Source organism: Homo sapiens, chromosome 5 (genome assembly GCF_000001405.40).
Source record: "Homo sapiens chromosome 5, GRCh38.p14 Primary Assembly".
NCBI lineage: Eukaryota > Metazoa > Chordata > Mammalia > Primates > Hominidae > Homo > Homo sapiens.
Window position 1 is genome coordinate 172848167 of NC_000005.10, and position 23011 is coordinate 172871177.

General features: G+C 51.0%; 1 protein-coding gene across 11 annotated transcripts in view, besides 6 other annotated features; it reads left to right on the plus strand.

Annotated features, from left to right (window-relative positions):
• The window catches only part of ERGIC1 (endoplasmic reticulum-golgi intermediate compartment 1), a 118433-nt gene that overhangs the window by 13916 nt on the left and 81506 nt on the right, over positions 1–23011 (plus strand). For 6 of the 11 annotated variants that reach the window (XM_011534597.2, XM_047417406.1, XM_047417405.1 and 3 more), the window contains exon 1: positions 5052–6560. The exons of the other annotated variants lie outside the window; for them this stretch is intronic. In XM_011534597.2, the coding sequence (XP_011532899.1) occupies positions 6469–6560 (92 nt within the window). In that variant the 5' untranslated portion in view covers positions 5052–6468. Of the gene's footprint in view, positions 1–5051; positions 6561–23011 lie in introns of those variants that run through there. 11 annotated transcript variants of the gene reach the window in all.
• Positions 1371–2570: an enhancer, noted in NCBI's record as "P300/CBP strongly-dependent group 1 enhancer chr5:172276540-172277739 (GRCh37/hg19 assembly coordinates)". NCBI's record gives its function as "activates an origin of replication core promoter dependent on BRD2, BRD4, P300/CBP, MED14 and CDK7 cofactors, with strong dependence on P300/CBP, by STARR-seq in HCT116 cells {active_cell/tissue: HCT116}" and the evidence as "EXISTENCE:reporter gene assay evidence [ECO:0000049][PMID:35650434]".
• Positions 2069–2138: a silencer, noted in NCBI's record as "silent region_16630". NCBI's record gives its function as "represses an Ori minimal core promoter by ATAC-STARR-seq in GM12878 lymphoblastoid cells {active_cell/tissue: GM12878}" and the evidence as "EXISTENCE:reporter gene assay evidence [ECO:0000049][PMID:35858748]".
• Positions 6620–7121: an enhancer, noted in NCBI's record as "H3K27ac hESC enhancer chr5:172281789-172282290 (GRCh37/hg19 assembly coordinates)". NCBI's record gives its function as "activates a minimal SCP1, AML or CMV promoter by ChIP-STARR-seq in naive H9 embryonic stem cells {active_cell/tissue: H9 hESC(naive)}" and the evidence as "EXISTENCE:reporter gene assay evidence [ECO:0000049][PMID:30033119]".
• Positions 10163–10340: a silencer, noted in NCBI's record as "fragment chr5:172285332-172285509 (GRCh37/hg19 assembly coordinates)". NCBI's record gives its function as "represses an EF-1alpha promoter that drives an FKBP-Casp9 reporter gene in an ReSE screen in phorbol 12-myristate 13-acetate-treated (for megakaryocytic differentiation) K562 erythroleukemia cells {active_cell/tissue: K562(+PMA)}" and the evidence as "EXISTENCE:reporter gene assay evidence [ECO:0000049][PMID:32094911]".
• Positions 11002–12002: an enhancer, noted in NCBI's record as "H3K4me1 hESC enhancer chr5:172286171-172287171 (GRCh37/hg19 assembly coordinates)". NCBI's record gives its function as "activates a minimal SCP1, AML or CMV promoter by ChIP-STARR-seq in naive H9 embryonic stem cells {active_cell/tissue: H9 hESC(naive)}" and the evidence as "EXISTENCE:reporter gene assay evidence [ECO:0000049][PMID:30033119]".
• Positions 14850–15351: an enhancer, noted in NCBI's record as "H3K4me1 hESC enhancer chr5:172290019-172290520 (GRCh37/hg19 assembly coordinates)". NCBI's record gives its function as "activates a minimal SCP1, AML or CMV promoter by ChIP-STARR-seq in primed H9 embryonic stem cells {active_cell/tissue: H9 hESC(primed)}" and the evidence as "EXISTENCE:reporter gene assay evidence [ECO:0000049][PMID:30033119]".

The window sequence follows — 23011 nt, forward strand, 5'->3', positions numbered from 1 at the left end:
AAGTAGGGTTCATTCCTTTTTTCCCTCCATCAAAAATTTATTGGAGGGATTCTGGGGGAAAACAAGACAGACACTGTTTCCACCTTCATGATGGTTCCAGGCTATTGGGGAAGATGGGCAGAACAGCAGGGAACAAATCATTGCACAAGTGGTTATTTTCCATTGTGATGAGTGCTGAGAAGGAAGGCAAAGTAGATGGGGCGATAGAGAGTTTATAGAGAAGGAGCTCACTGGATTAGCTTGGCTAACTAGTACTCTTCCTCAAAAAAGATCTTCCCAGACTGCCTCTTCAACCTAACTTGGGTCATCTGCCACCCCTTTTCTGGCCGCACCTTTTTATGACACCTAGACAGGTCCTTCAGATCCCTTGGCACAATTAGCACAGTTGCAGTGATTTGTTTGTGCAGTTTGTCATCTTGTGTCTGTCTTCCTTATGGAGTCTGAGTCCTCGAGAGCAGGGGCCATATCTATGTGTTCATCACTGGATCCTGGTGCTGAGCCAGCATCTGCACACTGTGGGTGGTCAGTAAATATTGACTGAATGAAGGAAGTAGAGAGACAGGGAGGAAGGGTCCAGCTGAGACCCTCCTGCAATGTGGCAGAGGGGTTCACCTCCGCAAGAATGGAGGACTTCATTGCTATATCCCTTTGTGTTTGGAAAATGTTTCTAGTTTTCTCCTAAGTGCATCTGAAAGAATTTATTTTGACCGAGTCCTGAGGAATTGGGAAGTCAGACATTACTGAGGCCCTGCCTGAAGGAGGGGTGGGTGGCCCACTACCTATCCTGATGGGAGGCCACCACGTGCCAGCTCCCCTTGCTTGAAGCCATGTTAGTCCCCAGAACAGGAGTAAGGCAGCCGGGAGAAGACACCTGACATTCCACCTTCACTCCTGCCTGGGCATTAGGATTCATTGTAATTATTCCCATTTTGAGGAAATGGAGACCGAGAGAAGTTGAAGACCTGGCTCAGGGTCATACCTCTGGCAAAGTAACAAACCCAAGCCCTAGCTCTACTTTCCGACCCCCAGAAAGTAATGCTTTCAGTTAGATCACCTAACCCTGGAAATCTTAGTTGCTTGTTTTTGAGTTGAGCAACTGTGCTCTCTCTAGCAAACTGGCCAGTTTCCCTAATCACCTGGGGCCCTGTGCGGATCCGGGAGAGTCAGATTCAGGTGGCCTGGGAATCTGCATTTTCACCAGTGTCTTCAGTGATTCTTAGGGTCAGGCAAGCTGGGGAGACCCTGAATAAGGGTTCCCCCATTATGTTCCCAGCGTAACTCTGGAACTGGGTACCACAAATCTTTGTTAACCTAGTAATGACCATCACAAAAGCGAGTGATGGGACTAAGACTTCAGAAAGCCCTTGAAGATGTGTGTGCTCTAGGGATCATTGTTTTCTCTGCAGATGAGGAAGCTGAGGCTTTGGGGGGTTGAGAGTTGGGGGTCACACCTGCAGGAATGCAGCTCTTCTGAATTTGAATCCCTTACGTTTTCCAGTTGATGGCAGGAGTCATATGTGTCTTGGTGAATGTTAGGTCCTCACATACCCCCAATGACAGCAGCTGTGGGTCTCCTCTCTGTCCTGGTGCATAGCACAAGACCTCACCCACGCTGTCTGCACTCAACTTGTTTCTGGAAGGCAGGGAGGAAGGAAGCTGTCAGTGCTAGACATTTGCAGGGGAACAGGGGTGGGTAGGTGGTGATAGTAGAAGTAAAAACATTCACTCAGCATCTCTGGGGTATCAGGAGCAGTGCTACAAACTATAAATATCATCTTCTTCTGTTCTTACCCATCAAGTTGGGGCTTTTATTTGCCTCATTTTACAGGTGAGAGAACCGAGGTGGCGTGATCTGATCTAGTGTTGGGTGTGTCAACGTCGTGTGCTGATTAGAATTAGTAAACACGGAAGCTGGAAGGGTCCCAGGATGGGTTCAGTGTCGCCCTGATGTACCCAACAAGCCAGGTGGCAGGAGCTGGTTCCACCTTTCGGGCCTGCCTGACTTTCCCCAATTTGGCTTCCGTTGGCCAAGCTGCAAAACTGGGTCACACTTGAAGCCAGGTGATTGGTCAGAGCTGAGTTAACCCTGAGTCAAAGGAGGGCATGAGAAGGTTCGCCTACCCGCCCCCTCCCTGCCCCACCCCACCCCACCCTGGGCCAGGCCCCTCACAGTGGAGCCACACAGGCACGTCATCCTGCTTGGGCCTCCGCCTGCCCCACACTCACCAGAGCATGACAAGTCAGCCACCCGGGATTTGGCTGTTCTAGAGGCACTGTTCCATGCTGCCAGGCAGACCTGGGACAGCTGGGCTGAGGGCTCGGGGGAGTAGAGGGAGGTGGGCACCGTGTAGTGCGGAGAGGCCTAGGGCTTTGGAGTCTGGTGGACCTGGGTGCTGATCCTAGTGCTCCCACCCACTCGCTGTGTGTCCTTGGGCAGCTCACTTCACCTCTCTGAGTCTGTTTTCTGCTACAAATGGGGATACAACCCTGACCCCAAGCAGCTGCTGTGTAGAGTTAACAAGAGCCTCATATAGCCCTAGGTCTTATTTCAGTGTCGAACCCCTCTTTTCTTCCTGCATTTATGAAATTTCCTGACACATTTGGTCTTCTAAAGCGGAGGTTGCAAACTGGTGGCATCAGAGGTTGAGTTTTGCCCACAAATGTGATTATTTGGCCCTCACATTTTTAAAAAATTGAATTTTATGTCAGCATTTTTGAATGAAAATATTTCACATAAAAATTTGGATTTCCAGCCGGGCACGGTGGCTCACACTTGTAATCCCAGCACTTTGGGAGGCTGAGGTGAGCGGATCACTTGAGGCCAGGAGTTCGAGACCAGCCTGGCCAACATGGTGAAACTCCATCTCTACTAAAAATACAAAAAATTAGCCGGGCATGATGGCATGTGCATGTAATCCCAGCTACTCAGGAGGCTTAGGCAGGAGAATCCCTTGAACCCGGGAGGTGGAGCTTGCAGTGAGCCGAGATTGCACAACTGCACTCCAGCCTGGGCAACAGAGCAAGACTCTGTCTCAAAAAAAAAAAAAAAAAAAATTAAAAATTCAGGCACAGTGGCTCACATCTGTAAAGCCAGCACTTTGGGAGGCCGAGGCAGCCGGATCACCTGAGGTCAGGAGTTCAAGACCAGCCTGACCAATATGGTGAGCTCCCGTTTCTACTAAAAATACAAAAATTAGCCGGGCATGGTGGCATGCACCAGTAGTCCCAGCTACTCAGGAGGCTGAGACAGGAGATTCGCTTCAACCCCGGAGGCAGAGGTTGCAGTGAGCTGAGATTGCGCCACTGCACTCCAGCCTGGGTGACAGAGCAAGACTCCGTTTCAATAAAAAATAAAAAAATTGGATTTCCAATGCATCTGGAAAAATGGACCTCAGTGGCCACATGGCAGCCCAGGGCTGTTGCTGGGCAGACCTCTGGGACCTTAAAGCGGGAGATGTGAGAGCCAGGATCAGGTTGCAGGCCTAGACAGGGAGGTGGGGGGGTATGGTCACCTCAGGGGCTTCAGGTGCCCGAGGACCCCTCTGAGACATGAGGACAGTCTTCCAGTGTGACTGACTTAATTCCATCTAGTGAGGAGGTGGCTTTTAGAGTCTGGATGCCCCTGGGTAAAAGGGCTCCACTTACCAGCTCCTTGGGCCAGTCACTGACTTGTCTGTGCCACTTTCTCATTTGCAAAACAAGAGTAATGCGTTGTTAGTAAGCACCATGGTAAGCACTCCACTCATGTCAGCAGCTCATATGAGTCCATCCCAAGTAGGAGATTTGCCCGAGATCGTCTTTGAGAGATGTCTTTCTAAAGGTTCCTGGAGAGACAGGCCTGTGTCTGGAAATCCCAGGCAGGGACTCTGACGGTGATCAGGCCTCTACCTGTCAATGGGTGAACCAGCCAAAAGGAGACCGCCAAAGCATCAGGTGCATTGCCAGGGGCATTGCCATGATTTGATTGGGAGGGAGTGTCAGTGTTGCATTTTTTGTACCCCCACTTTGAGCCCTGTGCTTAAAGACACCATCAAGGCCATCCCCTGATGGTCTTGGGAATGGATAGAGCTGAAAAGAGTGAGGCCCAGAGGCAGCTTTTCGTTTTCCAAAACGCAGGCAGGGTCTGCCCAGGTGCCCTCTGTGGGCTTGTTAGCCTGCAGGAGCTGGTTTCTGCTGGCTGATGTTAAGTCAAAGAGGTCTCCTGGCTCTAACTCAGACACTTCCTCATACAGTCTTCTTAGTGGGCTTCCTGCTGACAGTGGATGCCAGGGACCCAGGCAGGGAGGTCTCCCTTTTGAAAGGGGCCACTGGCCTTTGGGAAATAGTAGAGACCAGTGATTAAGAGCTTGATCTCCAGAGCCCCTCATAGGCCGTCAGTGACATGAGAGCAGAGACCGGCTCAGCCTTGTTCTCTACCAGGTCCCCAGGGCCAAGGACACTGAAAGCCCTTTTTAAAAAAAGTGTTGAATAGTAAATGAGCAGGGTCTTCCTCTTGGGTCTGAACCTCAGCTCTCCTACTTGAAGCCTCTCTTGACTTGCCAACAACTTACCGTGTCATCAGCGGGGATGGTAATGGTACCTTCCTCCTGGGGGACAGTAGAGTTTCAGTGAGATAACGTGTACATCACTCAGCATGGCACGCAGCCATGCGACGTGCTCAGCACATGTGGCTGTGATGACTGTTTGGTTTGCACAGGCATTTCTATGTGTGGACCTTGACGCAGGTTCCCACAAAGGACTCTGGCCCCATGGGTGACGGTGTCACAGCTGTCCTTTTGGAATCTTCACCTCACCTAAACTCCCTGGCAGTAATAGCCCAGGGGAGAGAGGGCATGTGGGTTTGGCCAAGGGAGGGGATCTCTGGGGAAAGTCACCCTGTTTGTCCAAGAAGCGCCTGTGTGTATGTGTAGATATGAGTGTGCAAATGTGTGAAACTGTGTGTTCATGCCTTTGCTGCAGGCCCACAAGGTGGTTTACCACGTGCTGTTGTTGCCTGGAAAGGTATTGCGCAGGATGCCATGTGGTATGATGTCCCTGGCCCCAGCAGCCCCAGTGACTGGTGAGCGGCTCCTAGGTCTGCTCCTGCCTCCAGTAGAAGCAGCCACAGGAGTCCTGGCCACAGCCCCCATTGCGGCCCCCATCGTGCTGGGTGCTGGCTTTTGGAAATCCCTGCATACCCGCAACGGCTCCCGTGGTGGGGGTGGAGGTGGAGGAGCTGGTCAGGCCACCCAGAGGCATCTTCCTCAGTGGAGCCTTCTGCCAGGTACCTCTCAGCTGTTTTCCAAATGACTACTTAGCATTTCCCTGCCTCGATCCCCACAGCAGCCCTGTAGGGAAGGAGTGGCCCATTTCACAGATGAGAAACTCGAGGCTTACAGAGTCAGTCTGCGCAACTGGGGCTGGGGGCAATGTGCTGGTTAAAATGCAGATTCCCATCTCCCCCCGCCCCGGAGGATGGGATGTGGGAATCAGGGTCCAGGCCTTGGTGTTCTAAGCAGCCTCTCCAAGGAGCTGCGTTGTCAGGAGAGTGGGAAGCAGAAGCAGGAGCCTTGGGCCTTACAGTTCTGGGAGTGTGCTCTGGCCCTGCTGTTTGCTCAGTTGGGGCAATTGCATCAGCTTCCTGGGCTTCCTTCAGCTTTCTCAGCTGTGAGCTGGAGAGAGTGGTGCCCACCTCCAAGGGGCCTGGTGAAAATTCCATGATCAGTTCGTTTATCTCACTTGGGATAGTGGAATTCCTGGAGAGTTCAATAAAATGGTTTGTTGCTATTGTTCCACATGGGATTTACTACAAAAGCAATTTCAGAAACATCCAAAAAGATATCCATGTGCATAATTGACAGTAGTGTATCTGCTCATCTCCTTCGAAGTGGGAGTTTCACAGGATGGTGAATCAGGGTTGCTCTACCCCCATTTTAGAGATTAAACTACAGCAGGCAGGGCAAGGTGGCTCACGCCTATAATCCCAGCACTTTGGGAGACCAAGACAGGAGGATCACCTGAGTCCAGGAGTTCGAGACCAGCCTGGGCAACATAGTGAGACTCCATCTCTACAAAAAAAAAAAAAAATTAGCTGGGCATGGTGGCCTGCACCTGTGGTCTCAGCTACTCAGGAGGCTGAGGCGGGAGGATCACTTGAGCCCGGGAGGTTGAGGCTGCAGTGAGCTGTGTTCACGCCACTTCCACTTCAGCCTGGACAACAGAGTGAGACTGTCTCAAACAACAAAAAAAGAAACTACAGCAGACCCTTGAATAATGTTTTGTTATAAAACATTGATGAGAAAAAAAAGTATTTCCTGGCTGGGGCCACTGTCTGTTGGGTTTGCACGTTCTACCCACGTCTGCGTGGCTCTTCTGCAGGCACCCCCACCCACCTACCCACATCCCAAACCTGTGCCTGTCAGGTTCATCAGCACGTCCGCATGGTCCCGGTGTGGGTGAGTGTGGGTGTGTGGGCGTGTGTGCCCTGCGATGGGAGGGCGTGCTGGCCAGGGCCGGTTCCCGCCTTGTTCCCTGAGCAGCTGGGATGGGCTCTGGCCACCCGTGACTTGGAACTGGAATAAGTGAGTAAACAGTGATCTTACTTGTTTTGACAAATCTTTCTTAAGTGTATGTACAGCTCACATGTATTTTAATGTCTAATAGTAGAAGTGTTTTGATCTTTATTTGGAAGTTTGGTGTTGTTTTTGTGACCAGAAATATGCCTTAGGAACTTAAGTCTTGTTTATATCCATTAGCCTGTGGGGAAATTGTTTTTCATCTTCTGCTGTTTCCCTCAAAGTCATGGTTTCCAAGAACCTACCAACAACCTTAAGTGAGGCCTTGCTGTACTGAGGGGCCACCTGGGACTCACACAGGTTTTTAGCTACCAGGGTTCTGGGGCTCCTGAAATGGACTCAGCTCTCCTTCAGACACCTACCTGGGCTGTGTTCCCCCAACGGACAGTGGTGGATGTGGGTTGGGATGTCACAGGTCACTGCACCACCTACCACCTCCCTGGAGTGGCATTTCCCAGAACACCAGGACACACTGCCGGGTGGGAACAATGACGCTGGTTTCCAGGAGAGCAGTGGGGGTGGGAGAGGAAGCATGCCTACCTGTCTTCCATACCTGATCTGGACCCAGCAAACATGGCCCTGAGGTGCTCCACGCCCCATACCTCTCTGCTGGGGGCTCCACCCACAGCCCTTCTGCTGAGATGGTCTCGGGCCTAACCAGGACCTCGCTGGCCCATTTGCTCACTCAGTCATGTAAGAGATGTCTGTTGCATGTTTACTATGTGCTGCGCCCTGTGCTGAGGCTGGAGTACCTGGCTGACCCCACAGACATGGTCCCCACTGTCATGGGGCTTACACTTAAACAGGGAAGATGGACAGTTGGAGGATCAAGAGTTTTCCCAGCGAGAATATCCAGGGAACTCTGGGGATGTTCTGATCCAGCCTTGCGTGGGGTGCGAGGAGGTCCTCCCCACGATGTTCAACTCAAGGCCTTAGTGAGGAGCAGAGCTGGTTTGGTGCTGGGGCAGGGAGCCAGGCCCGTCCAGCACGTGGTACACTGATGAGGGAATGCACCAGGCAGGCAGAGCCTTCGGGCACGGTGAGGAGTGTGCCCTGTCCTCAGCATAGAGAGGCCACGCCTTGTGTTGGGGAGCCAGGTTCCATGTGGGCTGTGAGCGGCCCACTCAGCCTGTGCTTCAGAGGCTGGCCTGGGTGCAGCCCGGCGGGGGCCAGGCCAGCGACTGTCAGCTCCTGTGGCGTCCAGTCTTTTTGCCAAGAGGCCTCTTTAATTCACATTTTCCACATCGACTTGATGTTTTGAAAATGTCGACCTTTAGTTCATCAAATGTCACTTATTAAATCATAAGTCACATCCCATTCAATTAAAAAAAGACAATGGACTGGTGACTCAGTGTATGGTCTCTTGGCAGGAGAGACCCTGAAGCACTTGAGGCCAGAGGAAGACATGCGCCTTGTCAGTGATCCCTGCATCCCTAGGGGTGGGCAGCACGTCATTCCTGTGAGAGGCTGGACTGGAGAGAGAGACTGGGTTGGCAGCCAGGCTGGAGAAGCTGTGACCAGCCTGGAACGCCAGGCCCAGGCAGGTGGACTTGAAACTTACTCACAAGAAGCAAAGAGCCCTGTTGGAAAGGTGAGGTTTGGTCAGTCAGGCCAGAGAGGAGTCAAGGCCATGCATGGAACAGTGCTTGACTGGAAGAGAAGCAAATGGCAAAATGTGTACAGGCAGGGAGTGAATCAGGGTGCTTCCTGGAGGAGGGACACTTGAGAGATGAGTTGGAGTGAAGTCAGTAGAGGTGAAGGGATTCTAGCCAAGGGCTCTGCGGCCTGATGAGAGGCTAGGAGGTGGGAAAGAGCGGGGGATACAATGGGCAGGTGAGATGGGGCTGCCTGTGCTGCCTCAGGCACTGGGGAGCCCTAGCAGGTTCTTGAGCATGCGTGTTGCTCAGGAAGAAAAATAAGATCAAGTGAATGTAAAAGCTCCCTACAGCTTAGAGGAGGGAGCACCGAAAGTCTTTTGGTATGGGTTAGAATGGTTCCCAAAGGCTGTGAGGGGAGGGTTCTCCCTGCTGAGATGACTGCGCCTTATCAGACCTTCATGGAGACGGAAGACAGACTGTGGAGACCAACCTGAGAATGGATTGTAGCCTTGCCCTCCTACCCTTGCACCTCAGTATCCCTATTTATGAGGTGGGAGAAGCAGTAATCTGCCTCACGGTTGTGTGAAACGTAATTAAGCCGTGCATACAAAATGCCTGAAGCATACTGCAGGCCTGTAGACAGCACTGGGGTAGCCAAGGGTTGGGGCCCCTGGAAACCCCACAACAAGAAATTCACAGCTGGGGAATTCAAGAGCTTTTTGAAAAACAGTGTTGGGGCCCCAAGGCCACCAGTAGACCTTAGGAACATGATGTACGCTGAAGTTCATTCAAATAACACGGTAAAGAGACTGGCCACCATGTTTTATGTATCTTAAATTAGGAATAAGGGGAACTTCTTGAAGCCTCAGTTTCCTCATTTGTAAAATGGGGCTAGTGACTGCTTCACAGGGCTGTTGTGAGGATGAAATGAATGGGGCTGAGACGCTTGGCATTGGACGTAGCTGAGGTAGGGTCTCAGGTGATATCCCTGGAATGGTTCGATTCATTGCCATGCACCATCCTTCCTCAGTAGAGGAGTACACATTTCTGCTCCAGTAGTTTCAAGGAGATGCTTATAAATATGCGTTCCTTCCTTGCAGACATGCCTGCGGGAGGAGACTTCTCTTGAGCCTGGGACTCACTGCCTTGTGTGCAGCAATGAACAGTCACAGCTCTGGCCCCACCCTTTGCTGGCTTTGGGACCTTGGGCAGGTCCTTCACCGCCCTGGGACTCAGTTTCCTCACCTGTAACAATGGGCTAATAATGGTGCCCCCCCCACCCACCCTTAAGCATTGTGTGAGGCCAAAATGAGAATAGTGCACCTGCCAATAAGGGCTCAGCCATGGCCACGTGGTCATGGAACCCCTCCTCCTGGGGTCTCACGTGGCCCCAGGACCCCAGGCACCCCTCTTCCATGGAACTTGGCTTCTTCCCCGGGTTCTTGTCTTACAGCTTACGTTATGGTTCCTGGAGTGAGAGGAGTAAAATCGGTCTCCCCATCTGCTCTCTGCTTTGCCTTCCTTTTCACTTTTCATCTCCCCAGGCTGTTCATTCGCTCATTCATTCATACATTCACTCACTGACACATTTACAAATATTTATACTGGTCACTGTGCCAGGCACTGCGAGACTCGGTGGTGAACGGCAGGGATATAGCCCCTGCCCTCATGGAGTCTTGGGCTTCAGCAATTAAACATCCAATTAAATGTATAATTCTCAGTTGACATGTGACTATAAAGGAGAAAAGCAGGGGGCTGTGAGGCCTGCGTCTTCTAGGGGATCGGGGGAACCTGACTGCAGTGGTATTTGACGGCTGTCTGAAAGGTGCTTAGGGTTCACTGGGCCACTGAGAGGCAGGGAGGCCCAGGTGGAGGGAGAGCATGGGCAAAGGCCCTGAGGTGGGAGGTCACAGGTCGGCCGGCTGAAGCGGCTGCTGGACAGAGAGCTGGGGAGTGCCAGGGCTGGAGGACTCAGCTGGCCAGACCATGAAAGCTGCATAAAACACCGTAAGGAGTTTATCCTAAGAAGCTTCAGCCCTTACAGGGTGGTGAGCAGATCCTCACGAACTCTTGATGCGAAGGGAAGAGCGGACCCATTCCGGGTCTCGGGCAGTGTCTGAGCAAGGGGCCGGTGGTCTGCGCATCTGCACACTAGGCCCTTCCTCGTCAGTCACACGCTAGAGGAACAACTCACAATTTGCACTTAGTCCTGAATCCGGGCGGTGACACAGAAGAAAGTCATAGACACTCGGGGTGGGGCAGAGGGGCCCTCACTGAGTCCTCTGCCGGCATCCAGCCCTGATGATTGATTCTAATCCAGGCCGCTTCTGAGGACACGAGGAAAAGGCTGTTAGCATAGGCCCTACTGCGTACCTGGCAGACCCAAGTTCATCATCTCGGCTGACCTTACCAGCCCCCCGCTGGCATGGGTGGGGGTCCGCTGTTGTCCACAGAAAGAAAACAGGGCTGGGAGCTTGTGAGGGCCCTGCCCAAGATTCCAAGGCCCCTGCCAGCCAGATGTTTGGGGCCAAAGTCCATGCTTCCCTGCCCTGTGGGTAACACGGGGGAGATTACTGTTTGAAGTACTTTGGACAGTCACACCAGGTCAAAAGGTCTGTGTGGTCAAAAGCTACAAGGCCTGTGGCTGGGGGAGCTGTGCTGAGGACGTGATTTTGAGGCTTTCTTAGCCCAGACTTACCTTCATAGCTTCCTGGGATCTCCCAGGTCTGGGTCGTCATCGGCGCCCTTACCGGGGAGGGCTCTGCTCCCCTAAATGCCCCTGTGCACCTGCCCCAGCCCCTTCCCTCCTCCTGGTGCTTGGGTCATGTCGTTCCCTGTGCATGCCAGTCCCCTTACGTGCACATTTTTCCTCTATGATTTTTCCTGTTTTGATGAGACACTGCTCTTGGCCGTGCTGGTTCCCAAGAGGGGACCAGGCCCCGGCCTGGCCAGCTGGTCATTCAGGAACTTTGCTTCTAGGCCCAGCCCCACACCCAGCCACATTCCACTAGGGCCAGAACCTTTGAGCTCCGTGTGAATGGGGCATGTCCCACCCACCCCCAACTCCCATGGCCGCCTCCTTATCACCCTTCCCAGCTGACGGAAAAGGCCATATTCCATCCTGGAATTAGCTTTCCCCCATTTCTGTTTGCTTCCAGACTGAAGGGTGGGAAAAAAAAATGTCCTGAAGGTCACAGTGCCGTCCCAAGCCTTTGAAGTGTGGCTGCTCTCATTGGCTCCACTTAGCAGGATGAAACTGGGGCTCAGAGAGCTGCCGCAGGTGCCTGGTGCTGCTGGTCACTTCTTTGCCACCTCTGAGGGAATCACCTTAAAGGGGCCCCTGGAGCCCTCCGTAGCCCTCACACCTCATGTGCTGGGCCTGGGCTGGATTGCAGCCCTTGCTGCTATCCTCCGCAGGTGCCCTTGGACAGGGGACAGCCTGCCCAGCTGTACACAGTGGCCTTGGCAAGACCACAGCATGGCCCATAGGTGGTGGCTTCAGGATTTGGAAGCCCGGTTTCTCTAACTCCAAACTCCACAGTCAGTACTTTGGGGTTCTGGATTGTTTGTCGGCTGGGTTAGCTCTGTTCTATTTTTCCAACTGTTTCTTGCCTTTAAGCTGTGCTTTGCCTACAGGCCTTTTCTTAATTATTCAGCTCTGCCAGAGGTGCTTCTGTAGAAAGTACTTGTCCTGAGTAATTTCAAGCTTTTAATCTTACCTTTGAAGAAATATTTAACCATCCCATGCTCCTATATGTTTGTTCATTTCTTATTCATTCTTTCACCGAACAGCATTGATTCAGTGCCAGGGAGGGGCAGGGACAGAGGTGAACAAGACATGTCTCCAGCCTCAGGTAGCTCAGGTGTGTGAGGCAGTGCGCTCAAGTGGGCTCATCAGTTCCCTGACGGGGAACTAGCAGAGGAGGGCAGGAGGGCGTGGAGAGGTATGGCAACCTTGAAGGACTTTGGTGATGGTGATGATCATAGCCAGCCCTGAATAGGGTTCTCTTTATGCCTGCACCATTCTGCCCCCTCACATCTGTTAACATGCTTCATCCCCACAACCAGTCATTAGGAACAACTTACACATTGGGAAGCCAAGGCACAGAGAAGTTATTTAACCTGCCCAGCGTTGCCTGAGCCAGGGCAGAGCTGGGGTTTGAACCCAGGCCTCCTGGCTCCTGCATCTGCCCCCCTCACCACTGCACCTCACTGCATGCACGGGAGCTCTTTGGATGCAGGGATGGGAGCGGTGTGTGCAAGCCTCAGAGCTGTGACCGTGAAAGAAACAGACTTCTCTGAGGCTTTGCTGCAGAATCTGGGCCAGCAGGTGTCTGGGAGGAAGCCACCCTTGGGCTGGGGCCAAGCATGGGTCCTGGGGTCAGGACAAGGAGAGGGACTGGTGCTTGAGTCCTTTTGGAGCTGCAGATCCATGGTGGGGCTTCTGAATGATCTTGTGTGAGGAAGGAGTCCAGGGTGTTAGCCACGCCTGTGTTTCTTTGTGAGCACAAAAACATATTCCATAGCCAGAGTTCCACAGTGTTTGGAGCTCTGCCTGAGAACCTAGGCTGGGACTGTGTGGGGAGGAAGGGCCGGCGAGAGCGGATGTAGGCTGAGCCAGCCTCGGCTGGAGACCGGCCCTGGCACTGACTGCCTGGGGTCACTCTGGGTGAAACTCATCCACCCTCCTGGGCACTCTGCGCTCTGCTTCAAATCCACCGCCGAAAACAAGCTGAGTCCTGCCCCAGCCTGCAGGGCCTGTGGGATGTGTCCTCCATCCGCCTCGCTGACCTCGTCCCATGCCACCTGCCCCTCCCTGCGTGCCAGCCGCAGTGGCCACCGCTGCTGCTGACACAGGCCAGCCACACACCCACCTCAGAGTCTTGGCCAAGCACTGGCCATTCCCTCTGCTCAGAATGCTCTTCCCAGGCACTTGGCGTAGTGGCTCCCTCCCTTCCCTCGGGTCTCTGCCCTGACCTCACCCAGCCTGCAGTGCCCTCTGTCCGGCTCTGTCAGACCCACGTGTTCTCTTTCATAGCTCCTCCCACCCTCTGGAACAGTCCCATCTCCCTTTGGCTTGTTTATTATCTGTCCCCTCCATGGGAACCTCGGTTCCTCAGAGGCGCAGGCTTTGCCTGTCTTGTTCATGCCTGTTGCCCCAGTGCCATCAATGGAGCCTGGCACTTGTGGATGCTGACTACTCGTTGGCTGAATGAATGAACCTCAGTTGCCTTATTTGTAAAATGGGAAGCATCACACTGATCTACTAACGTTGCTGTAAAGACGAAAGGCATGTTATTTGGGTCAAGACACCCAGCACTGTGCCTGACACATAGTAGGTACTTAGGAAGTGGTAAATAATGCGTGTGTCAGCCCAAGTGTGAATTACTGGCCTTGTTTAGACAAAGTGTACACGGCATAGCTCTATTTTTTGACATTGCCAGGATAGCCTGGTGCTCCCCAGCTCTAAAACTCAGGGTGATTGGTGGGGCAGAATAAGGTAAGGGCAGAAAAGAAAAGAGGAGGAAGTGAAAAGGAAGAAGCCCTTTGCAGTGTGGACTACTTTTCAGTAGAAACGTAGAAAGACATAGTTTACCTCAAGGCCTCGCTTTGTCCACTGGAAAGTTTAGAAATTCCTGCCAAGAACTTTTATTTATTTATTTATTTTTTAATTTTATTATTATTATTTTTAGATGAAGTTTTGCTCTTGTCACCCAGGCTAGAGTGCAATGGCATGATCTCGGCTCGCTGCAACCTCCGCCTCCCGGGTTCAAGCGATTCTCCTGCCTCAGCCTCCCGAGTAGCTGGGATTACAGGTGCATGCCACTGCACCTGCTCATTTTTATATTTTTAGTAGAGACAGGGTTTCACCATGTTGGCCAGGCTGGTGACCTCCTGACCTCAAATGATCTGCCCACCGCAGCCTTCCAAAGTGCTGGATTACAGGCGTGAGCCACCTTGCCTGGGCAACTGAGTGAGACTACATCTCAAAAAAAAAAAAAAAAAAAAAAAAAGATGGCACAAGATAAGGGGGGAGATAAGGAAGTGCAGTAGAGGAAAATGTAGGTGGAGACTTCCTTACACCATCGAGACCACACAAATGGGCATGTGTTTATAGAAAGGCCCAGTGGTGAGGATGGCAATGGTGGTGAGCACTCCCGAGCACAAAGGTGGATGCCCTTCAGCTGTAAGATCCCTTTTCCTTGAAGAATTCTCCACAGCAAGCTGGCTGGCCAGCCTTGACTTTTCTCTTCCTGAAGGGAGCCTGGTTCTCTACTGACTCAGCAGGGAATGTGTCCTTTAGTGCTACTTATTGATGTCAGGATATGAAAAACTTCCCCAACCTCAAATTTGGGACGTCCTTACCAGTGTTTCTCAAATTTCAATCACTCTAGGGCTACTGTCACAGTTTGTGCCACACCTACATCTACTCCTACTGTTATATGCTTTGTATTTTATTTAAATGGACTCACTTTTTAAAAAGCTTGCATAGATGAGTTTTAAAAGGCAAACAATTTACCTTCTCTCTAAAATGGAAGACCAGGATCACCTGCCATGAGTCCAAGGTACCTGTGAAAGTCAAAGCAGTGAGATGAAAGTTCTAGCACAGAGCTATTGCTGGTAGACAGTTCTGTGCCTGAAGCCGAGCCTTCTATTTATTTATACGCACATATATACATACATACGAACTCTCCCTCTGTCACCCAGGCTGGAGTGCAGTGGTGCAATCCCAGCTCACTGCAACCTCAGCCTCCCCATTAGCAGGGACTACAGGTAGCACACCATCACACCTGGCTAATTTTTGTATTTTTAGTAGAGGCAGGGTTTCGTCATATTGGCCAGGCTGCTGTCGAACTCCTGACCTCAAGTGATCCGCCCACCTCGGCCTCCCATAGTGCTGGGATTACAGGCGTGAGCCATCGTGCCTGGCCTAGTCTTCTTTTTACTAAAAAGTGAGATTATTAAGTGTAAAAAGACCTACTAGTACCAAATGAGATTTTTTTCTAAACTCGATTATGAGAATTGAAAGAAAAGTGGAAAAATAATCACTTCTTCTGTGGGTGATTTGTGTTATTTGCTGCCCAATCTGGGTTCCACCTAAAACCGTCTCAGGTACACCACTGCGCAGCCTCCCAGAACCACCCACCTCCTTCCTGACGGCCAGGAGACAAAGGACCCTTGGGCGCGATCAGCCGCACCTTCAGGCTGAGTGGCCAGGAGTCCTCCCGTGGCCCAGCCCACCTCTCTCTTTCAGGAATTCAAGTCAGCATTTTTGTTGGTCCGGATCTGAAGCCACTTCTTCCAGGCAGCTGCCCCTGATCTCTCAACTTCATAGCATTTTGGCTCTTTAAAAAAAAAGAAAGAAAAAAACCAAACGTGTGACTTTCTTTGAGGTGTTAGAATTATCCTCCTGGTATGTTGTTATTCTGACTTAATTCCGAGAGCAGGGCTTTGTCACACGGAGCTGGTACCTACTGTGTCACAGCACTGCATGTGGCTCAACAGGCCAGGGCTTTTAATCGCTTTTGACATCTACTCTCTGAAGAAATACATTTATATCACAACCCAGTGTACAATACATGAAAACTCAACATGGCCGGGCGCGGTGGCTCACGCCTGTAATCCCAGCACTTTGGGAGGCAGAGGCGGGCGGATCACTTGCGGTCAGGAGGTTGAGACTAGCGTGACCAACATGCTGAAACTTCTCTCTACTAGAAATACAAAAAAATTAGCTGGGCATGGTGGTGCATACTTGTAGTCCTAGCTACTCGAGAGGCTGAGGCAGGAGAATCGCTTGAACCCGGGAGGTGGAGGTTGTAGTGAGCTGAGATCACGCCACTGCACTCTAGCTTGGGCCACAGAGGGAAACTCCATCTCAAAACACAAACAAACAAACACCTCAACGGTTCTTCTCTTACTACACACAATGACAATAAATATTTTGTAGTCTTTTTTTTTTTTTTTTTTTTTTGGAGTCTTGCTCTGTCACCCAGCCCAGAGTGCAATGGCATGATCTCAGCTCACTGCAACCTCCACCTGCCTCCAGGGTTCAAACGATTCTCATGCCTCAGACTCAGTAGCTGGGATTACAGGCACGTACCACCACACCTGGCTGATTTTTGTATTTTCAGTAGAGACGGGGTTTCACCCTGTTGGCCAGGCTGGGTCTCAAACTCTTGGCCTCAAGTGATTACAGGCAAGAGAAGGATAAATACCACATTTAGGAGAGTATTTCTCCTGGGATGGGATGGAGATGGGTCAAAATGGAAAGTGCAGACAGAAGAGGAATATAGGGGCTGTCTTTTTTTTTTTAAATGCTGGTTGCAATCTACTACTTTGATTTTTTAACTCACTAGTCATCGTCATCTGCAGTTGGTAAAAACATTGTTGTAGAGGGTTAAAGCATGAACCATATTAACATGTCCCCCCCCCTTTTTTTTTGAGCACCTATTATATGCTGGGCACAGTGCTGAACACTGTCTCATTTTGTCCTAACCACGTTTTGCGTATCAGGCCACTGAGTCTCAGAGAGGGACATCACTTAAGCCCGGCTCACACAGCAAGTAAGAGCAAATTAAGATTCCAGCCTGGGTCAGCCTGACTTATTTTCATGTCCTTGAGGCCTTGGAGCAGTTCCCTTGTGTATCTGCTGCAAAGCCTTGCTCAACGCTCTTCCCAGAGGAAGTGATCAAATGAAGGAATCAAATATCAAATTGCTATAGAAAGAAATTCTTTTTTTTTTTTTTTTTTTTTTTGAGACAGTCTCACTCTGTCACCCAGGCTGGAGTGCAATGGCACGATCTCGGCTCACGGCACCCTCTACTTTCTGGGTTCAAGCAATTCTCTTGCCTCAGTTTCCCAAGTAGCTGGGATTACAGGCGCCCGCCACTATGCCTGGCTAATATTTTGTATTTTTAGTAGAGACTGGGTTTCACCATGTTGGCCAGGCTGGTCTCGAACTCTTGACCTCAGGTGATCCACCCGCCTTGGCCTCCCAAAGTGCTGGGATTATAGGCGTGAGCCACCGCACCTGGCCTATAGAAAGAAATTCTAAAACAGTCTCTTTAATATTAACATAAGCCAGTGCAAAGGGTTCCCAAATGTGGCTGATGACTTGGTTTTCTTTCTTTCTAAATGTTTAAGGAATTTTTAAATTGAGGTATTGCAGATTGTAAAGTGTTCTTATCTTAAGTATACAGCTCAATGGCTTTTTTACCTGATACCCCCATGTGGCCACCCCCAGATCAAGGTGCACACCACTTTCAGTACCCCAGAAAGCTCCTGCATATGCCTCTTCCCAGCCAGCACCCCCACCACGGGGTGACCTATCTCCTGACTTCCCTCCCCTTGCTTTAGTCTTGCCTGTTCTTCAGGTCACACACGTGGAATCATATGATCTGATCTGTGTGTGTTGGACTTCTTTCATCCCATGTCCCATCTGTGGGATTCATTCATGTGGTCGGATCAGTGCTTCATTCTTTTTTATTGTTATAGTACCTGATTGGGGTACTTTTGAGCTTATTTTTTATTTCATAGACTATTTTGGACATATAGAATCATATAGAATCACACCCACCTCCCATCCTGAGAAGCAAACCTTAAGCCCCTATATTCCTCTTCTGTCTGCACTTTCCATTTTGACCCATCTCCATCCCATCCCAGGAGAAATACTCTCCTAAATGTGGTATTTATCCTTCCCATGCAAGTTGGTAAATTTGTACTACCTATGTACAATTTCTTAACAGATCCTTTGAGTGAGTATAAACTCTCTTTTTCTTATTTGGTATTGCCGAGTCCAATTAAATTTTAATTTAAATGTTCCAAGTGTTTCTGGGATTCAGAACCTCAGCTCCATGCTCTAGAGGTCAAGACAGTTGGAGCAAAGTCCAGAAGGAAAGGCCAACTGGGGAGAGGCAGGAGGAGAGCAGAGTGGGGAGAGAAGCGGAGGGAGGTGGGTGTGGGAGGGAGATGCTCACAGCCCTCAGCAGCCATGATCTGGTGGGGGCCCCTGCCGCTGCCCTGGTTTTTCTCTCATCTTGGACCTATGGGGAATGCACCGTGCCCCTCTTTCTGGCCTAATTTCCTGTGTCCACTGGTGCCACCTCTTTGCAGAGGCAGCCTTCAGAGGGATTTGTGGGGGAGAAGGAGCTTCTCCTTTGGGAAGAAAATGCTTGTGGTCCTCCATGTACCCTACACCCTGCAGCTGCGTCACAGGGGAAGCACTCCCCCATGGGGGCCAGGCGCTGTGCTAAGCCTTTTCCCTGTACTAACATGTGAACCCCCTCTGAGCAAGCCAGCGAAGTGAGCACTATTTGACAGCCTGAGAAACTGAAGCACAGGGCAGTGAAGTGAATTCCCCGAGGCCACAGCTAGCAAGTGGCAGAGCTGGGACTTGAACCCAGAAAGGGCAGCTCCAGGCTCACCACCTGTATACTCTCCAGTCTATTGTCTAGTGGAGGCACGGGCGGCCCAGGGGCCTTCCCCGATGCTTATCTCATTCTGTAACTCTGCATTCTCAGTGGAGGTTTTCTTGACTCTAGCTCCAGGCAGGCAGAGACTGCCTTTGTTTGGCTCCCATTTTTATCATTAGCAGAGCAGGTGCTAGTGATATTTGCAGAACAGGTGCTGAATGAATGCATGAAAAAATGCATGAATGTGGAAATGAAAGGGGATGCAGATGGAGATGATGCAGATGGAGATGATGATGCAGATGGAGATGATGCAGATGGAGATGATGCAGATGGAGAGCAGTGGCCATGCAGAGTCTTTGCAGACCTTGGCTTGGCTTCAGGCTGTGGGGGCTCTGCAAGCCAAGGGTTTGAGTTCCACCTCCAGTGCTTGCCAGCAATGCCACCTTGGGTGACCTTTATCGTGCTACCTGGAAAGTGGGGATGCTGGCAGCCCCTCCCTCCTGGCATCACTGACACTGCATGGTCAGGGTGTGATCCCTTTGGGTACAGGCGGGGGTGGTGGACCTCCCAGGTGGGCAGGTCCAGTTTGGATGAAAGGCCAAGGACGATTCATAGGAGAGCACAGGAGTCCTTGCTTAGCCCCAGCAATTCCACAGAACCTGCTGTGAACTGCTGGCTGCTGCCCGTAACTTTTCCCTGTCCCTATTTCCACTCCTTGGAGGCCGCAAGAACAACTGCTGGCTGGCCTTGGCCACTGCCTCAGTGTTCCAGCCTCTGCCGTCATTTGACACCAAGAAGACAGCCAGGCAGGCCTTGGCTCACTGCAGAGGTGTTACTCCACCCCCGAGTCCTAGCCGCCCCCTGTCCTCTGGGTCCTGGCTGGGCTGGGCAGGAGGGCACTCACCTCTCCCTTCTCTCTCTGCCCTAGCATGAACCAGCAGAGGGGCTCTCAATCCTGGTGCTGGGCAGTGGGTCTAGATTTCCCTTTCCATCTGCAAATATACCCACCATTTCCCTTCCCTGCATTCTGCGCTCAGCAGGGCTATTCACAGGAAGCACAGAGGACCTCTCCTTCACAGTGAGCAGTTGACCTTTTTTGAGCACCTACTGAATGCCAAGGGTTTTTTCTACATTTCAATTTGTGATCTCATTTGTTTCTCAAAATCTCCCTAGGAGGGAGACGTAATGCCCCTCCCCATTTTACTGATGAGTAAACTGAGGCTCCAAGAGATTCAGCCAGTTGCTTAGCAGAGTCAGGATTTGAGCCGAAAGCTGGGTTGTCTCTACTCCCCTCCATGCTGCTCTGCAGAAGAGAGAAGCCATAGAAAGCTCAGGAATGTAGTGACAGTCGCAGCGCTAGCGATGATGATAATCACAGCTCACATCCACCATGCGCTTGCTACGTGCTGGGAGCTGCCATTCAAGCCTTACATGCGTTTCTGCATTTAATCCTTACTCCTGTGAGGTAAGCAGTATTTTAACCCCATTTTACAGATGTAAAACACTGGCGGTTCAGAGAAAAATCTGTCCAAAGTCATGCAGCTAATGCATGAGACAGCAGAGCCCCTGGCTCTGAAAATCCGTGGGGATTGAAATACCAAGCACACTGGTTCATCCAGACAGTGGGATATTGTTCAGGATTGAAAGGTAATGAGCTAGAAAAATGTGAAAAGACATGGAGGAACCTTACATGCCTCTTACTAAATGAAAGAAGCCAATCTGAAAAGGTTCTATACCATATGATTTTCACTCTGTGACATTCTGGAAAAGGCAAAACTATGGAGACGGTAAAAGATCAGCGGTTGCCAGGGGTTGCGGGAGGGAGGGATGAATAGGCGGAGCACGGAGGATTTTTAGGGCAGTGAAACTGTGTGTGATGCTGCAGTGATTGATACGTGTCATTAGACATTTGTCTAAACCGAAGGAATGTACAACACCAAGAGTGACCCCTGATGTCAAGTATGGACTTTGGGAGACAATGATGAGTCAGTGTTCATTCATCAATCATAACAAATGAACCCTGTGGTACAGGATGTTGATAGTGAGGGAGGCTGTGCATGTGTGGGGACAGGCAGGATATGGGAAATCGCTATCTTCTGCTCAATTTTGCTGTAAACCTAAAACTGCTCTAAAAATATAGCCTATGTTTTAAAAGAGGGAAAAAAGAAAAACAGGTTCACGATGCACTTGGTGCTTGAGCCACCACAACCCCCAGCAGTGATGTGCAGCAGGGCGTGGCTCTGCACTCTGCGGGGGCTTCCCGGGCTGGCTTAGCTGTGGGATCATCTTCTCCAGTGGTTCTTCCAGGCCTGCTGTCAGGTGCAGTTTGAAATCCAGTTCAGGAGTGCACCTTGCGTGGGGAGCTGGAGGGAGGCAATGGTTGCTGTTGGGTGACTAGCAGAGGCTGAGGGAATGGCAGGCATGCCAGGGCTCTGCCAGTGTATAGACAGATCTTCCCCCCTGGGGAGGAGGAAGGAGGAGGTGAGGGGGGTGACAACAACATTCTTTGGTCCCCATTCCCCAGGACAGCGTGTGCTCAGGGGAGGCTGGCCTCACCCCTGCCAGGGAATTGCAAAATTCAGCTTCAGTTGAATGAGTGTCCTTTGGAAAAGTACATTTTGCTCAGGAGCCAAGTAAAACTGAGGACTCTGCAGCCAGCACACTGAAGTCGCTAGCCATGACTCACACCGAGTGGGATGGGGAGGGCCAAGCTGGGAGGCAAGCCATGGCTCTCTGGTGGGTCCAGGCTCCCTCTGGCGCCAGACCCCTCGGCTGGGCTCAGGTCCCTCAGCTGGGATATTTCGTGTGCCAGAGGTAGCAGCCTCAGATGGCTTTGTCAGGGTTCAGACTCTCCTTGCTATTTAGAAAAGATGTTGTCTCTAAGAAGTCATGGAGAAAATGAATCACTGTAAAAATCAAATTTTCTTATCCACTTGCATTATTGGTTTAGAGATGGCTTCTCTCCAAGATAAGTTTTTGGTAGACTGCAGATCAAAATGTTTAGGGGCATCTGGGGGTGTCATGAGAAGAGCCCCAGATGGGACACCCGTTCTTCCTTGTGACATTAGGGAATTTGGTACAGCTTTCTGGATCAGTTTTTGCCTTTAAGATGCATCTGGACTCATCAAACCCAGAAAGTGTAGAGCAAATATTCCTATTCCCATGTCCTTGGCAGACATTGCTAATCTATCTCAGGGCTCCAACAGAGTTGGGTCTCAGCCTTACCAGCCTGGCAGCCACTAGACTTGATCCCTGAGATGAAACCTCTTGACCACACAGGAACTCCATGATCTTGAAGCTCCCTTCTGGCTCTATAACTTTTATGTCTCTCTCTCTCTTCTTGCTGTATCTTTCATTCTACTGACTATTCTGATACAAAAATACTTCACGTTCAAGATTTAAGGCCAAGTTCACAAACTGATAATACTCAGGCCAAATCTGACCCACAGAAGTGTTTCCTTTGCTTTGCGTATTATTTTATTTTTGAAACACTTGCCATCATTTTTTAATTGGTGATTTTACCTAATTCCCCAGATTTCTGGTTTCACTTAACGGGCTGCCCTCGGACCCCTTGGTTCCAGCCATGTGCCAAGCTGGGAGGCTTTCTATGGACTCCACAGTTTGCCACAGGCCACACCCAGCCCACTTCTCTAATTTCCAGTTCCTGCCTATTCTCAGTAGGCATTTTTCTACTCCAGACAAGTATACTTCTGTCCCACATGTAAGGCCTGGCTGTCTCTCATTTGCTGATGTGAGCTGCTAGATGACCAACGCTCCGGTCTGTTAACTCACTTGGGATGCTGACGTTTCCTGGAATCTCTTTCAGAGGGAAAGGTGTTTCCTCTCTATGAATCATAACTGCCTGATGAATTAGTTTTACATTTTTATTTTCTCATGTGGGCTTTCCTCAAAGCAGGGGCTCAGTTATGCCATGAACTGTTGAAGAAAGCACAAGTTGAGGCAGATATGGGAAATTTAGCAGGGGGAGCGGGGAGCAGAGCCCTTCCCTCCCTCTCGCAGCCACTCCCTTCCTCCCCGCCTGCCTGCCTGGATCTCCTCTGCAAAGCCTCATTGCTGGTGGGTGGTGAGGAAGCCAAGTGGCTCCCCGAGGGTACTTGCCTGCACAGCTCAGGTGAGCTCTTGGCTCAGGAAAGACTCACAGTCTTCCCTGGCTCAGCGGGCCTTTTGCTGCTTAAAGATGATGCTCGCCACTTCAGATCACAGTGCCAGCCCCTGGGGAACCCCAAGATGCGTAAGACAACCTCCTGCCCTTGAGGAATTCACAGCTTTGAGGGGAAGACACCAATAGTATTAATGAGGCAGTGTGGGCCGTGCTGTTGTTTGTGAATGCAGTCCACGCATGCTCAGTGACATCAATCATCGCATGTGCCCGGTAGTAACAGGGAGACCTCAGGGGCTGCAGAGGTCCCCGTGGGGGCACTTCATC